The 15,323-nt window shown below is 37.5% G+C and overlaps 2 long non-coding RNA genes across 6 annotated transcripts in view; one reads left to right on the forward strand and one right to left on the reverse strand.

The window, feature by feature from the left end:
• LOC105374976 (uncharacterized) overlaps positions 1 to 15,323 on the reverse strand; it is a 289,589-nt gene that overhangs the window by 27,250 nt on the left and 247,016 nt on the right. The gene's annotated exons all lie outside the window — the stretch shown is intronic.
• The window catches only part of LOC102724749 (uncharacterized), a 66,451-nt gene that overhangs the window by 26,305 nt on the left and 24,823 nt on the right, over positions 1 to 15,323 (forward strand). For 2 of the 4 annotated variants that reach the window (NR_187792.1, NR_187791.1), the window contains one exon: positions 5,964 to 6,227. The exons of the other annotated variants lie outside the window; for them this stretch is intronic. This is a non-coding gene — a long non-coding RNA (uncharacterized LOC102724749). Of the gene's footprint in view, positions 1 to 5,963; positions 6,228 to 15,323 lie in introns of those variants that run through there. 4 annotated transcript variants of the gene reach the window in all.

Genomic DNA, 15,323 nt, shown 5'->3' on the forward strand with positions numbered 1-15,323 from the left:
CTTTGTTCCATTGCTGGTGAGGAGCTGCATTCCTTTGGAGGAGGAGAGGCACTCTGATTTTTAGAATTTTCAGTTTTTCTGCTGTTTTGTCCCCATCTTTGTGGTTTTATCTACCTTTGGTCTTTGATGATGGTGACGTACAGATGGGGTTTTGGTGTGGATGTCCTTTCTGTTTGTTAGTTTTCCTTCTAATAGTCAGGACCCTCAGCTGAAGGTCTGTTGCAGTTTGCTGGAGGTCCACTTCAAACCCTTTTTGCCTGGGTATCAGCAGCAGAGGCTGTAGAACAGCAGATATTGGTGAACAGCAAATGTTGCTGCCTGATCGTTCCTCTGGAAGTTTTGTCTCAGAGGAGTACCCAGCCATGTGATGTGTCAGTCCACCCCTACTGGGGGGTGCCTCCCAGTTAGGCTACTCGGGGATCAGGGACCCACTTGAGGAGGCAGTCTGTCCATTCTCAGATCTCCAGCTGCGTGCTGGGAGAACCACTACTCTCTTCAAAGCTGTCAGACAAGGACATTTAAGTCTGCAGAGGTTTCTGCTGCCTTTTGTTTGGCTATGCCCTGCCCCCAGAGGTGGAGTCTACAGAGGCAGGCAGGCCTCCGTGAGCTGCGTTGGGCTCCACCCAGTTCGAGCTTCCTGGCCGCTTTGTTTACCTACTCAAGCCTTGGCAATGGCGGGCACCCCTTTCCCAGCCTCGCTGCCACCTCGCAGTTTGATCTCAGACTGCTGTGCTAGCAATGAATGAGGCTCCGTGGGTATAGGACCCTCCGAGCCAGGTGCGGGATACAATCTCCTGGTGTGCCGTTTGCTAAGACGGTTGGAAAAGCGCAGTATTAGGGTGGGAGTGACCCGATTTTCCAGGTGCCATGTGTCACCCCTTTCCTTGGCTAGGAAAGGGAATTCCCTGACCCCTTGCACTTCCCGGGTGAGGCAATGCCTCGCCCTGCTTCGGCTCATGCTCGGTGTGCTGCACCCATTGTCTTGCACCCACTGTCTGCCAATCCCCAGTGAGATGAACCGGGTACCTCAGTTGGAAATGCAGAAATCATTTGTCTTCTGTGTCGCTCACGCTGGGAGCTGTAGATTGGAGCTGTTCCTATTCAGCCATCTTGGCTCCACCCACATGTATCCCTATTCTATTATTAAATAAATATATTTGGCCATCTTATCCTGATACATACTTAATTCACTCAGTTCTCTTTGCTCCAAATATGTGTTCACCAAGCAACATTTTGATTATGTTTTAGCTTCTTATACATATGTACATTAGAAGCTTTAAAATTTCAATCTGGGGAGATGTTAGCTGGAAGTATAGAACTGAAGGGGAGGCTCAAGACTGCATTCAAATAATGTGAAAATTTAAAATAAAATTTGGTTGCATTTAAATTGGGGAAGTTTGCAGGAAGAATTTATGGAAACCTTGGTAGGCTCAAGCTGGTGTTCTCAATGGTGTTCTGTTTTATATTTCAGAACAGAAAGATTAATGCAAATCTACTTATTTGATAGATTAACAATGATGACTTAGAAAGAATAAACGTTTAGTTCTTATTCACTTAACAGTACAGGAATAACAAAACAGTAAAAATGTATGCAGAGGTAGCTCTTAGATCATTTGGAACAGTTTTTATTCAACTCAGGAAAAGAGAAAAGAACATAGAGAAGTATGCCTGGGATATTTTTAGATGCCAGCACTGGAATCGGCATACATCACTTCCACTGCTTCTTGCCACATATAACTGCAAAGGAGATGAGCAATATAGTCTAGTATGTCCCCAAGAAGACGAAAAAATAGCCTTGCTCAACCACTAACAGCCTATCACAATATAGGCTCATTGTACTGATAAAATCCATTTTCTGAGACCATAAGGCTGACAGCCAACCTTTGAATGAATAGTAAATTCCACAAGGTAATAGATGTCACATAATGAGGTGCTTGTGGGAATAGACTGTGATAGATGACAGACAGATAGATAGATAGATAGATAGACAGATAGCTGACTGTAGAGATAGCCTTCACTACAAAAGAAACACTACACTTCTATGATATTTTTCTTCTTTAGATGTACATATGAACAACTTTTTCATACAATGGCTAGTTTTTCTTTACAGTATTAATATCTTTAATATTATACAATATTAATACACGTACATATGCATATGTATATATAAAAGTTTGTGCATATATACCCACGCATCCATAGCTACAGTGACTGGACATCAGCTCATTTAGTAAGTTACAGTGGTTCAATTGTATCCTTGGGAGATTGTTTCTAGGACCCCCAGAGATAACAAAATCCAGGGATGCTCAAGTCCCTTATATAAATTGGTGTAGTATTTACATTTAAGCTACACACAACCTCCCATATACTTTAAGTCATCTCTAGATTACTTATAATACCTACTACAATGTAATACTATGTAAATAGTTGTTATACCATTTTTTAAATTTGTACTATTTTTATTGTGTTATTTACTTATTGAATATTTTTCTATCTATGCTTAGTTGAATCTAGAGATGTGGGAACCCAGCCCACACATACAAAGGGCTGTTTGTATATAAAATCATGACAAAATCATTTGATATTTTAGTTATACTTTTTTTTTAAATTACTATAAAGGTTTCATTCAATGATATCATCATCTCTCACGGATTTAACTCTTTAATTACCATATATATGCTGATGAGTCTCAAAATTTATATTTTGCCCAGATCTCTCTTCTGAATTTCAGACTTTTCTAACTAACTGCCTTTTTAAGAACTGCAGCTGGATGTTTAATTTGGGATTGCGAATGTGACATATCTAAAAGAGGAGAACCTGATCTTAACCACACCCCCAAACGAACTCCTCCCCCATCTCAGGAAATGGGGTGTCTCTTCTTCTCAGTGTTCAGGATTCATAGGCTATGGTGCCATCTTTGACTTTTTTCTTTCACTCACAACTTACAGAAAATCTCTCAGCCAATACTGTCAGCTCTGTCTTCAAAATGTGTCTGTAATGCAACCATTTATTTCCATCCTCACAGTCATACTCCTGGCTCAGACCACCATCATGAGGATGTGGAGTTTTGAAGTCACCCTTTAATTGTTTCCTCAAGGGCTACCCTTCAGTGCAATCCCAACCCTGTAGTCAGAGAGAACCTTACAATCTAAGACAGGTAACATTACTCCTCTGTTTCAACCCTCTGGTGGATTGTCATTTTGGGGTAAAGGATAAAATCCATACAACGACTGCAAAGCCCTACTGGATCTACTCAACTTCTCGTTATCTTTCTGAGGTCATCCCCAACTACTCTCCATTTTGTTCCTGCTGCCCTGGACATGCTGGCCTCTGGCTTTTCCTTGACAAGCCATGCACACTTCTACCTCAAGTGTGCATTGAGGTAGAAGTTTTTCTATTCCTGGAATGGTCTTCTCTCAGACACTCTTCTGGTTCCCTCCCTCTTTTTCTTCAGTCATTTGCTAAAATAGTTACTTTGTTAGTGATGTCTTCTCTTGGCACCCATCTAAGATGTTGGCTCCTGTTCCCTGACACTGCATATCTCATTGTATATTTTACTTTTTCCCTTGGATGCTTATTGCTTCTAGCATAGCATTTTAGTTAATGATCCTTTAATTGCTGATGTCTTGTATTAGAACACTGACTCCATTAAGTCAGGGATTTTTTTCGGTTTTGTTTGTTGATATTTCCCTAGTACCCAGAAAAATGCCTTGGACAGAGTAGGTATTCATAAATATTTGTTACATTAATCCCATATTCATATACCTATTAATACCATGCCTTCTTTGACATGGGGAGCCGCAGACAGGATATTTCGTATTTTTGTGTTTCAGAATAGAATATCTCCTATTGTGAGATCTACTATTGTTCAGAATAACTTTGACACTTTTACTATCTACCTTTTAGCTGTTAACAATCCATTTTTTGCTTATGTACAAATATGTTTATGTTTATACTCAAAATTTTGTTTATTGATATATTTTAATTTCTTAAGGCCAAAGTTCTTCCTACTTTCTGTTTGTTTTTTCCTTCTTACTTTTACTTACTTTAGATTGAAGGCATTATTATTCTAGATTATATTTAGAGGGATTGTATATTTGTCAACCAAAATCTCTCTTTCCCCAGTAAGTTTTGAGGGAATGATGTTTCTGTTATGATTTTGTAGATATTTCTAATTCCTTTTTGCCTTCCAACTACATGAGACTTCTATTTGCTTAATCTTGTAGGAAGTTCTCAGAATCTGTACATCTCTATCATGATCTGTAACTGCTAATTTAGAGTTAAAAGCATAAGAAGGCTGCATGGAAATATATAGAAATATAAACAAAATTCCTATATTTTCTTTAGCTCATAAACTGTCTCTTTCCTCATTGAGTTCAGATAGAGCAAAATGTACATGTTCTCATTTTCAGGTTATAAGTTATATTAATTATAATAGGGTAATATTCAAGTCAAAAATTATTTTTTCATTTTAATAGTATTGTGAACCAACATCAAAAATTCTCCCTCTGTTTTTTGTTGCCTGACCCTTATAAAACCATCTTGAGAATTTCCATCATGTATGTGGTTATGAGATTACAACTGTGGTTAATTTCAACAACAACTTTGCCAATAAAGACTCAAGGGGGCAAGTAGCAAAGGGTTTTCTCCACTCTCTAGAATCTAGATAGGCCTTTTCCATGACATGGCCTACCTCTGAATAGGGCTTGAGCAGGTGACACTTAGAAATGGGCATCTGGCATATTTGTTCATATTCAGCATATACCAATACCATGATGTACTGATGCATGTGCTTTTGAATTTTTCATTTGAATTTTCAATTTCCCTTCAGAATCTGTTAATAGAAAATGAGCATCCCTGGTATTCACCTATGTCACAAATTTGTCCAAGACAGGAAAGTGGGGTTAGTGACGTTTATCCAGAAATGAAATCAAGGGCATGGAGCTCATTTTCACAAGAAATATATTGTATTCAATAATGTGAGAGCAGCTAAGTTTAAAAGATATTGGGCATCCACTGAGTCCCAGAGGCTGTACCCTCAATATATAAATGATCTGTCTTTGCTATTTTAGCAGGGTCAACAGCCATTATTTTTGGTAGCCACTTGTCATAGTTCCTTGTGATTAAAAATGCAATGGTTATCGTCAGTGTACATTACCTCACTCCTGCCACCTATCCCGGGCCTCTTCTCAGATGACCCAAGGTTCAGACATGGTTGTAGCACAGAATACTGAACTATGTGGTTAGAGGGTTTTCTTCCATTTGTAACCTCACAAAGTGCAACATTGGCTGCCACTGAATCAAAAGAGAATGAATCAGAAGCATGTGAATAAATGTGAAGAATTATAATGTGGTATAAAGAGCACTGCATTTAAAGTTAGAAGACCTGGGATGAAGCTTTTGCCCTAACATTTAACAGCTCTACTGTTAATGACTGCCTACCTACTTTCTAGGATTGTTGTGAGGATTAGGTAAACTGTGTAAGCAAGACTTATTTTGTATAAGCTATAAAGCACCTAACTATCAATAATACATGTTGGCCGGGCATGGTGGCTCACGCCTGTAATCCCAGCACTTTGGGAGGCCGAGGTGGGCAGATCACCTGAGGTCAGGAGTTCATCCAGGCCAAAATGGCAAAACCCAGTCTCTACTAAAAGTACAAAAATTAGCCAGGCGTGGTGGTGGGCGCCTGTAATCTCAGCTACTCAGGAGGCTGAGGTGAGAGAATTGCATGAACCTGGGAGGTGGAGGTTGTGGTGAGCTTAGATCATGCCACTGCACTGAAGCCTGGGCGACAGAGCAAAATTCTGTCTCAAATAATAATAATAATACATGCTATTATTGATAATATTATTATTTATGGCTGAATAAGACCAAACCCTGTAAAAGTTAGAAAGCTTGTTTTTAGTATCTGGAAGATCCTTAGGGGTATTAAATAGATACCTTTCTTCATCTCTCAACAGATGTTTCAATTCATGCCATCACATCTTTGAAAACTGGCAATTCAACCTTGCCTTGAGCATTTCCATGTACAGGAAACACATGATCTCTTAAGGAGTCCATTTCACCGTCAGACGGTTCTGAAGGATGTGAGTGGTTCTCAACATTGAAACCAGTGCTGGCTCCTGGTTTGAATTTCTGTAGCCACTCCAGTCTCGTTCTTGTGCTCACCATTCCTCCAAATTGGCCGCCTATGACTTCTATGACAATAAATCCAATGGACCCTTGCCAAGCTTATCATATTTTCTCAGCAGCATTTGACCCAGTTGGCATTCTTGACTTCTTCAAGGCTCCTTCTGTCCTTGATTCCCACTATGTCACTTTCTCCTGGATGCCTGCCTATGTCTCTGGGCATGGCTTCCCCATCTCCTTTGCCAATGTATCTACCTCAATTCCAAAAACAATCATAACCTCCAGAAATGCTTTGTCCCACACAAAATATTTACCTAAATGTTAAAGTTTTCTTTAGGCTTCCAGTCAGTTTACTCAGGAGTTGATTTAAAAGGAGTTGATAAATAGAAAATATTCACTTTTCTCCTTAAAAGAATAACATAATTTGGATGGATATTCTTTTTTATTAAAATGATATTCTTTTTTATTAAAAATAATATGCAAGCAAAAAACATTGATGATCTCACTTTGTGTCCATTACTGAATTATATCTGCAAAATTCCCAAGTACTTATGTTGACTGGTAATTCAAGAAGAATATTATTCAATATTAATGATTTAATTCAAGATACATGCACATAACACTTTTTTTCAATTTCCAATTATTACTCACACTCTGAATTAACCTGTAATAATTAAAAAGAAAATAAGACCTTTCATAAGGAAGAAAAACCAGTGCAGGATATATAATCTACAAATACGGTGAAATTGCTTTAATGGGTTATCTGTCTCGAGCGGAGAGCCTAATGCAAAGTAGGTGGAAGATTTAAAGGTGAAGCAAACTCCCTTGTTATTTTTATTTAATAAACACCATCACAACTGACCTTTAAAGCTGATAAAACTATAAGGGAAGACAAGAACAGATGCAACATTCTGCCAGACCTATTTGAATATATTTAACATATGGCCAAGGAGTGATTCTTTTTCCAAAGAAATTTCAAGTTGATTTTACTTCTGTGTTGGTATTTTGTACTATTAAGGTTTTTTGAATAAAATGAATTGAAATAGTAAGTTAACTGGAAGGGAAAACGAGCCTTTCCTTTTGCTGGTCTTAGAGAGGGTTTGAGATAATAGGAACAATGGCTTCCAGTGACATAAAGAGGTGAAATATATAAGCAAGCATCTGTGTTTGCTAATTCTGTGTCAGGCTGAGGTATGATCTCAGTACTATCCACAGAGGTGTGGGAATTAAGCTGCCTTTTATTTGACCTCAACATTTTTGATTTGTTATATTGTCATTTAGTCTGTGAAAATGTTCAACCTAATCTTTCCAGCCTCTTATAATCAACCGGAGTGGTATTGATCTTCCTGTCATTCTCCCATGCACCTTGAAAAATCATGTATGAGTGAGAATGTGCACACTCTTATAGATGATCTGAAGCCATTCAATATGCTCTTAATTATAAATAGCTCTTTCTAAATTTACTACAGCTATAAACATCATATAGTGATATATACATATATATTCCCTCTCTTATCCATACCCGCACATTTATATTCATACTTTTATGGTCACATATGCCACAAATTTAACTCCCAGATGTCTCTCTGTGATATCTATTCTGTACTCACCCTCTAAACAATCTCAAGCCATTAAGAGATACCTGACTATGAATGAATTGCACACATGGCTCGCAAAGAAACCCTGGAAGGAAACATGCTGCTTTGAGCTGCCTTCAGTTTGTTTGTTTTCAAATATTTTAGCTAAGAGTAGGAGAGATCATTCAGCATCTACTAAATACATGCCTTCAGGAAATGGCAAACATAACAAGCAGTCACATTAACTATGTAGGAGGACACAATTCCTTTTGAGACATCAGGGCAATGTTTCTAAGTGCAAAAACAGTAAACAGAAATGCAACTTCAGGGCTCTGTGCAACTTTATTCGTAAGGGATAATTTTCTTGCTACATTTAGTGTTCTTTTTTTCTTCAGTCCCATATTTTGTTTTGAAAGTTCTCAAATCTACAAAAAATTGAAATATAGCACAATAAACATTCATCTATTCTTCACTTAAAAATTAATTCAATATTTAGCTATTATTGTTTTCTTTCTCCCTATCTTAAATGCTAATACTTTGTTAATGGTGGTGGACAGCCATTTGAAGGTAAACTGCAGACATTGTGATATTTCACCTCTAAATACTTTGTCATGCATTTCTTGAGAATAAAGGCATTTTTGCATATAACCAGAATACTCACAATTAAACACATGTGAGCAGTAAATCTAATTATATTTAGTCCATATTTTGAATCATGACTTTTTTTTTTTTTTTTTTTTTTTTTTTTGAGACGGAATCTCACTCTGTCGCCCAGGTTGGAGTGCAGTGGTGCGATCTCGGCTCACTGCAACCTCCGCCCCGCAGGTTCAAGTGATTCTCCTGCTTTAGCCTTCTGAGTAGCTGGGATTACAGGTGCCCGCCACCATGCCTGGATAATTTTTTTTTTTTTTTTTGTATTTTTAGTAGAGGCGGGGTTTCACCATCTTGGTCAGACTGGTCTTAAACTCCTGACCTCGTAATCCACCCACCTCAGCCTCCCAAAGTGCTGGGATTACAAGTGTGAGCCACTGCACTTGGCCCCGACATGTTTTTTTTTTTTTTTTAAAAAAAACATTCAGGCTGGAGTTTGTGTAGACTGTCTCACAGTCTGGGTCTCTTTGATTGTTTCCTCATAACTGATTACATTTATGTTAACTTTTTGTTTTCAAAAATACCACATGGAGGACCTTGTGTACTTTTTTTTATTGCTTCATAGCAAGTAGCACTTAACTTCAATTTTATTTCACTATTGGTGGTGCTAAATTTGATCACTTGGTTAAGGTGGCACTGTGCAATCTGCGTGTTATAAAGGCACCTGTTCCATTAATGAGTGAATGATATTTTTAAACCCAGTAAATATGCAGTATCCCAACATCTTGCACTCAGTAGTTCTAGCATCAATTGATAGCTTGTAGTTGTTTTTACCAAAAGAACATTCATGCTGGGTATGGTGACTTATCCCTGTAATCCTAGCATTTTGGGAGGCCAAGGTGGAAGGATTGCTTGAGCCCAGGATTTGGTGACCAGCCTGGGCAAAATAGGGAGACCGTGTCTCTTAAAAAACAAAAAAACCCCAAAAAACAAAAAAAAATAGCCAAGCATGGTGGCACGTACCTGTGGTCCCAGCTACTTGAGAGTCTGAGGTAGGAGGATCACTTGAACCCAGGAGGTTGAGGTGGCAGTGAGCCGTGATCACAGCCTGGGTGACAGAGTGAGACCCTGTCCCCCACACCAAGAAAGAAAGAGAGAGAGAAAGAAAGAGAGAGAGAGAGAAAGAAAGAAAGTTCCATTTACAAAATTAGTTCATGTGCTTCAATTTAACAAATAAATATATATATATATAAATGCAAGACAAAGAAAATGATAATTATAAGGGTTTTAATAATATTTGAATATAATTAATGCCTTTATAATTTTTTTACTCCAGCATAACCTCAACATTGAGGCCAACAAACAAATTTAGCTGTTTGTTGGCATATAAATAAAGATGGGAGTGGGTTCATAGTAAAGCTTTGAGGACCAGTGCTACCTTCTTTATGAACTAGAGCTACTTAGAGATTAAGCATATGCAAAATCCAGATATAACCATAGGAAAATACTGTTAACTTTTGAATTTGCTAAAAATTACTTGAATTATTTTTCTGTGTTTCTCACTTAAGTGCTGTCCAGACTGTTCATTTATTTGTTTATATATTTGAAGAGAAAATAAAAGCAGAGGGGGCATGTGGGAAGCAGAGCTGTGATGCCAAAGCCCTCCCTAAAGAGTCCCTTTTTGATTGAGGCATTTTTTAAAAGAGACATTCAAAATAACGTCTAATGAATTAGCCAGGTTTGAAAAAGCAAGAAAACACAATCCACAAACACTTCCTACACAGGTCAGGTCAGCACCCTTCCAGAAAACTTTGAAATTGTTCTAAGAAAGACAAATTAAATTATGAAGAGATTTCAGCCATTTCCTGGTACAGAATACAGTGAAAAACGATAGCAAGATCTTTCATTAGGGAAAGTGAAAGGCAAGTGAATACATAATAGCAGTACACAACATTATGGAGGGTATTAAAGGTGACGAAATCTACACTGCAAGGGGAAGAGTTTTAAGATCAGTAAAGTTTTACACAGTTGCAAGTAAACACCTGGAATGTGTTGCTATTAGAGACTCTTAGGCTAAATTTAAGAAATTTGACTTAAATTAACAGGTGATAAATAGGAGGGTAAATAAAAGCTAATAATATTTTAGTAGAATTGTGGGAACAGCAACTACCAATTTTCCTTTTTTTTTCTATTTTCAGATACTCTCCTTTAAAAAGTTATACCATAGAGCAATATAAAAATCCCTATAGTTCTATGTTTTAGACTATATACATATGTTTTGGAAATTTATGTTACTTCTACTTTCAAAAACAATAAGGAAAAACCACAGTTATCAACTCTTACATGTTGATTTTCAAATTAGTATTTTTCTCATTATAAAATAATATACATTTATTTCTGATACTAGTAATTAAGAGGAGTAATGCATTATCAAACAACTGAAAAGTGGCTGCTATGAACACTTAATGTATTCCTTTTTAAAATTATTAACAGTTATATTTGGATTATACTGCCATGTAGCTGTATACCCTACCCCATGTATTGATTTTTTAAATATATAAATGAGTTTGAAACCTATAAGAAGAAGAGCTTCGAGCTGGGCACAGTGGCTCACACCTGTAATCTCAGCACTTTGGGAGGCCAAGGCGGGCGGATAACCTGAGGCCAGGAGTTCAAGACCAGCCTGGCCAATATGGCAAAACCCCATCTCTACTAAAAGTACAAAAATAGCCAGGCATGATAGTGGGTGCCTGTAATCTCAGCTATTCGGGAGGCTGAGGCATGAGGATCACTTGAACCCAGGAGACAGAGGTTGCAGTGAGCAGAGATCATGGCACTGTACTCCTGCCAGGGTGACAGAGCAAAATCCTGTCTCAAAGGAAAAAAAAGAAGAGCTTATTTTTTAAGTAATTTCAACTTTTATTTTATATTCAGGGGTACAAGTGCAGGTTTGTTACATGGGCATACTGCATGATGCTGAGGTTTGAGATATGAGTGATCCTGCTACTTAGATAGTGAGCGTAGTTTCCATTAGTTTGTTTTTCAAACCTTGCCCTGCTCCCTCCCTCCCTCCTCTATTAGTCCACAGTGTCTACTGTTGCCATCTCTATGTCTACGAGTATCCAGAGTTTAGCTCCCACTTATAAATGAGAACATGTGGCATTTGGATTTCTGTCCCTGCATTAATTTGCTTAGGATAATGGCCTCCAGCTGCATCCACGTTGCTGCAAAGAATATACTTTCATTCTTTTTTATGGTTGTGTTATATTCCATGTTGTATATGTACTACATTTTATTTAATCCACCACTGATGGGCACCTAGGTTGATTACATGTCTTTGCTATTGTAAATAGTGCTGTGTTGAACATACAAGTGCATAAGTCTTTTTGGTAGAAACATTTATTTTCTTTGGGATACATACCCAGTGAAGGGATTGCTCGATCAAATGGTAGTTCCGTTTTAAGTTCTTTGAGCAATCTTCAAACTGCTTTCCGCAGTGGCTGAACTAATTTACATTCCCACCAACAGTGTTTAAGCATTTCTTTTTCTCTGCAACTTTGCCCTCATGTGTTGGGTTTTCACCCTTTATTAATAGCCATTCTAACTGGTGTAAGATGGTATCTCATTGTGGGTTTGATTTGCATTTCTCTGATAATTAGTGTTGTGGAGCATTTTTTCATGTGTTTGCTGGCCACTTGTATGTCTTCCTTTGAGAAGTGTCTGTTCATGTCTTTTGCCCCTTTATAAAATGGGATTGTTTGGTTTTTGCTTGTTCAATTGTTTCAGATCCTTATAGATCCCGGATATTAGGCATTTGTCAGATTCATAGTTTGGAAAAATCTGCTATTCTGTAGCTTGTCAGTTTACTCTGTTGATAGTTTCTTTTGTTGTGCAGCTCTTTAGTTTAATTAGATCCCACTTGTCAATTTTTGTTTTTGTTGCAATTGCTTTTGAGGACTTAATCATAAATTATTTCCCAAGGTTAATGTCCAGAATGGTATTTCTTAAGTTTTCTTCTAGAATTCTTAGAGTTTGCGGTCTTATATTTAAATACTTAATCCACTTTAAGTTAATTTTTGTATATGGTGAAAGCAGGTGTCCAATTTCATCGTTCTCCATGTGGTTAGCTGTCTATCCCAGCACCATTTATTGAATAGGGAGTCCTTTCTCCATTGCTTTTTTTTGTCAATATAATTGAAGATCAGATGGCTGTAGGTGTGTGGTGTTATTTCTTGGTTCTCTACTTTGTTTCATTGGTCTCTGTTTCTCTTTTTGTACTAGTACTGTGATGTTTTGATTATTGTAAACTTATAGTTTGAAGTCAGGTAATGTGAGGTCTCCAGCTTTGTTCTTTTTTGCTTAGAATTGCTTTGGTATTTGGGCTCTTTTTTGGTTTCATATTAATTTTAAAATAGTTTTTTTCCTAGTTCTCTGAAAAATTATGTTGATAGCTTAGTAGGAGTATTGTTGAATATGTAGATTCTTTGGCCAGTATGACCACTTTAATGGTATTTATTCTTCCAGTCCATGAGCATGGAAAGTTTTTCCATTTGTTTGTGCCATCTATGATTTCTATCAGCAGTGTTTTGTAGTTCCACTTGTAGAGATCCTTCACCTCCTTGGTTAGGTGTATTCCTAGGTATTTTTTGCGTTGCTATTGTAAATGGGATTGCATTCTTGATTTGGTTCTCATGTTGAACATTATGGGTGTATAGAAATGGAACCAATTTTTCTGTATTGATTTTGTAAACTGAAACTTTACTGAGGTTACTTATGAGTGTCATATACTGGGGATCTTCACAAATAATAACATAATGAAACAAAAACTCAACTAAGCATATAAAATAGGTCTCCTGGTAAGATAAGCTTTAAACATCCTGCCAGGTTTCTCTGTTTAGCAACTTAGATAGAAGGTCATCTGGGTAGAAAACTTTTTTGCCTCCTTCTAAAGCTCTTAAATGATCATTTTTAGTTATAAAAATGCAAATCTAGGAGGTGTCATTTTCCCTTCTGAAACGTTTCTCTAGCTGAACCAGTGTTACTATTTTTACCATTCTTGTTTGGCACATTCCTGGAAGTCACAGGGTAAATATTCCCTGGATTCAGGAGACCTTCTGGGTGAAAGTTTCAAACCTGACTCCATTTTGAGATTCAGTGGATGGATGGGAGTGGCTGTGACTGTGATATGGGGGCAGAAAAGGACAATACAGGCCCCAGAGGAGAACGCCTTGTAGGGAGAGCAGAGCTTGGACTGGCCATCTGAGTTTTTCAGCAAGCTCTGGCATTTTGTGGAGAAGGCTGGATGGCAGCAGAGTCCATGGCTGAAGCTGTACACACTCAGGGCTCAGTTACCCTGCCATAATGCCATGACTGGGAGAGAAAAGCCAAGTCTGTGAGTCTAAACTAAAAAACCTATTTTTTTTTTTTTTTTTACATCCAATTCTGGGCTATCACCAGGTCCTGTGCAGAGAACTGAACTAATAAGGACATTGTAGTAGACACAGTCCCACACACAGCACCATGAAAAGAGCCAGGCAAGAATATCACTTTCATTGATTTGACACTCATTTTCTGATTCCCTCTGGCACTTGGAAATAGCCCTAATGCCTTTAAACTGAGTATGACTCCATGTGTCTTTAGAATTTTCAGATGAGCAGTTTGAGAGGAAAATCCTGGACTGCCTATTTATGAGGCTCAATTGTAAAATGTGGGAAAGCAAACAACATGAACAAATAAACAATATATTTGAATTTCAAGGAGATATGTACAGTGATATACAGTTTACACAATTCTCTCCAGGCATGAGGGAGAGCCAGAGAGGCTAACAGACCTAAATGGTTGCTTTTATCCAAGTTTCTATTGCTCTCAGGACAGAAGAAACTAACCAGATAGAACCATCTGACATCAAAAAATATGCACCCAGTCTCTAGCTGGCATTAGCGATTTTTGTTTTCATCTAGACTTTTAAAAAACAGAATTCTAACCATTAAATGTGCAGAAAGTTAGACAGTCTCTTAATTTAGTTTCCTTAGCATGCTTAACTAATACCTTAATTCTACATGAGGAGGAATGCCCAGTCTCCCACTTTTAAAGGGCCTAAGAAACGGTTGTCATTATGCTTTTCCTATCTACTTTAGCAAGGTTATATATTTGCCAAAATTTGTACCCTGTTCATTCCGAATCTTTACTTGACTGATTCATAGAAAATTGGTCTTAGCCTGGCTACTGAACTGTTTATGTTTTATTTAAGTATAAAATTATAGTCCTCCAAGTAGCTCATTGTTACCTATGTTTACTGAATAATTACCTTGGTAAATGCAGCTCTCCCTTTTCAGACAATTAAACAAATATTTATAGAAATATAGAATGTACCCAATCTACGAAGCCTTAAAACTTAGCTAAATTTTAACAATTATTAGTAAAAGATGAATGTGTTCCAACGGCCCTTCTACTTCTTCCTCACCTACCTCCAATCTATGAGGATGATTCTTCTTTAGGGAAAAAGGAAATAAACTATCTGTGCACTTAATCAGGCTAGACCAGGCTATTTGGTAGCTGTCACTTGAAATAGATGTGATGTCACCTTTTTGTGAATAAATGAAAACATGCCCCTTAAATAAATGATAAACAGGAACCAGCAGCCATAGAGTATAAGGAGGAAGGTGAGGGGGAGAGGCAGGTGTAATAAAAATAAATAAATAAGTGAACCAAAAGGATTTTACAAAGTGCAATGATAAATCTCTCTGGGCTCTAGTTGTTGCGTTTATTTGAAAGACACGAAGCACCTTTTGGGTGCTCCTTAAACCATTTTATCTTTACCTGTGCACAGTTTGACAATCGCTTTTTTACTTCAGGGAAAGAGTAAAGGACAGAAAAGAAAAATTGAAACAAAAAAAGGACAATAAAAGAATAGACAGAGCTCACAAACTTGAGTTATTGCTAACGTCCTAATAATATCCCTTTCAGTTCACTCTTTCACCAGCATAGGATCCAGGAATGAGGAATCTTGCGGGAATTTTGTAT

The sequence above is a fragment of the Homo sapiens genome, chromosome 6 (assembly GCF_000001405.40).
Source record: "Homo sapiens chromosome 6, GRCh38.p14 Primary Assembly".
Classification (NCBI taxonomy): Eukaryota; Metazoa; Chordata; class Mammalia; order Primates; family Hominidae; genus Homo; species Homo sapiens.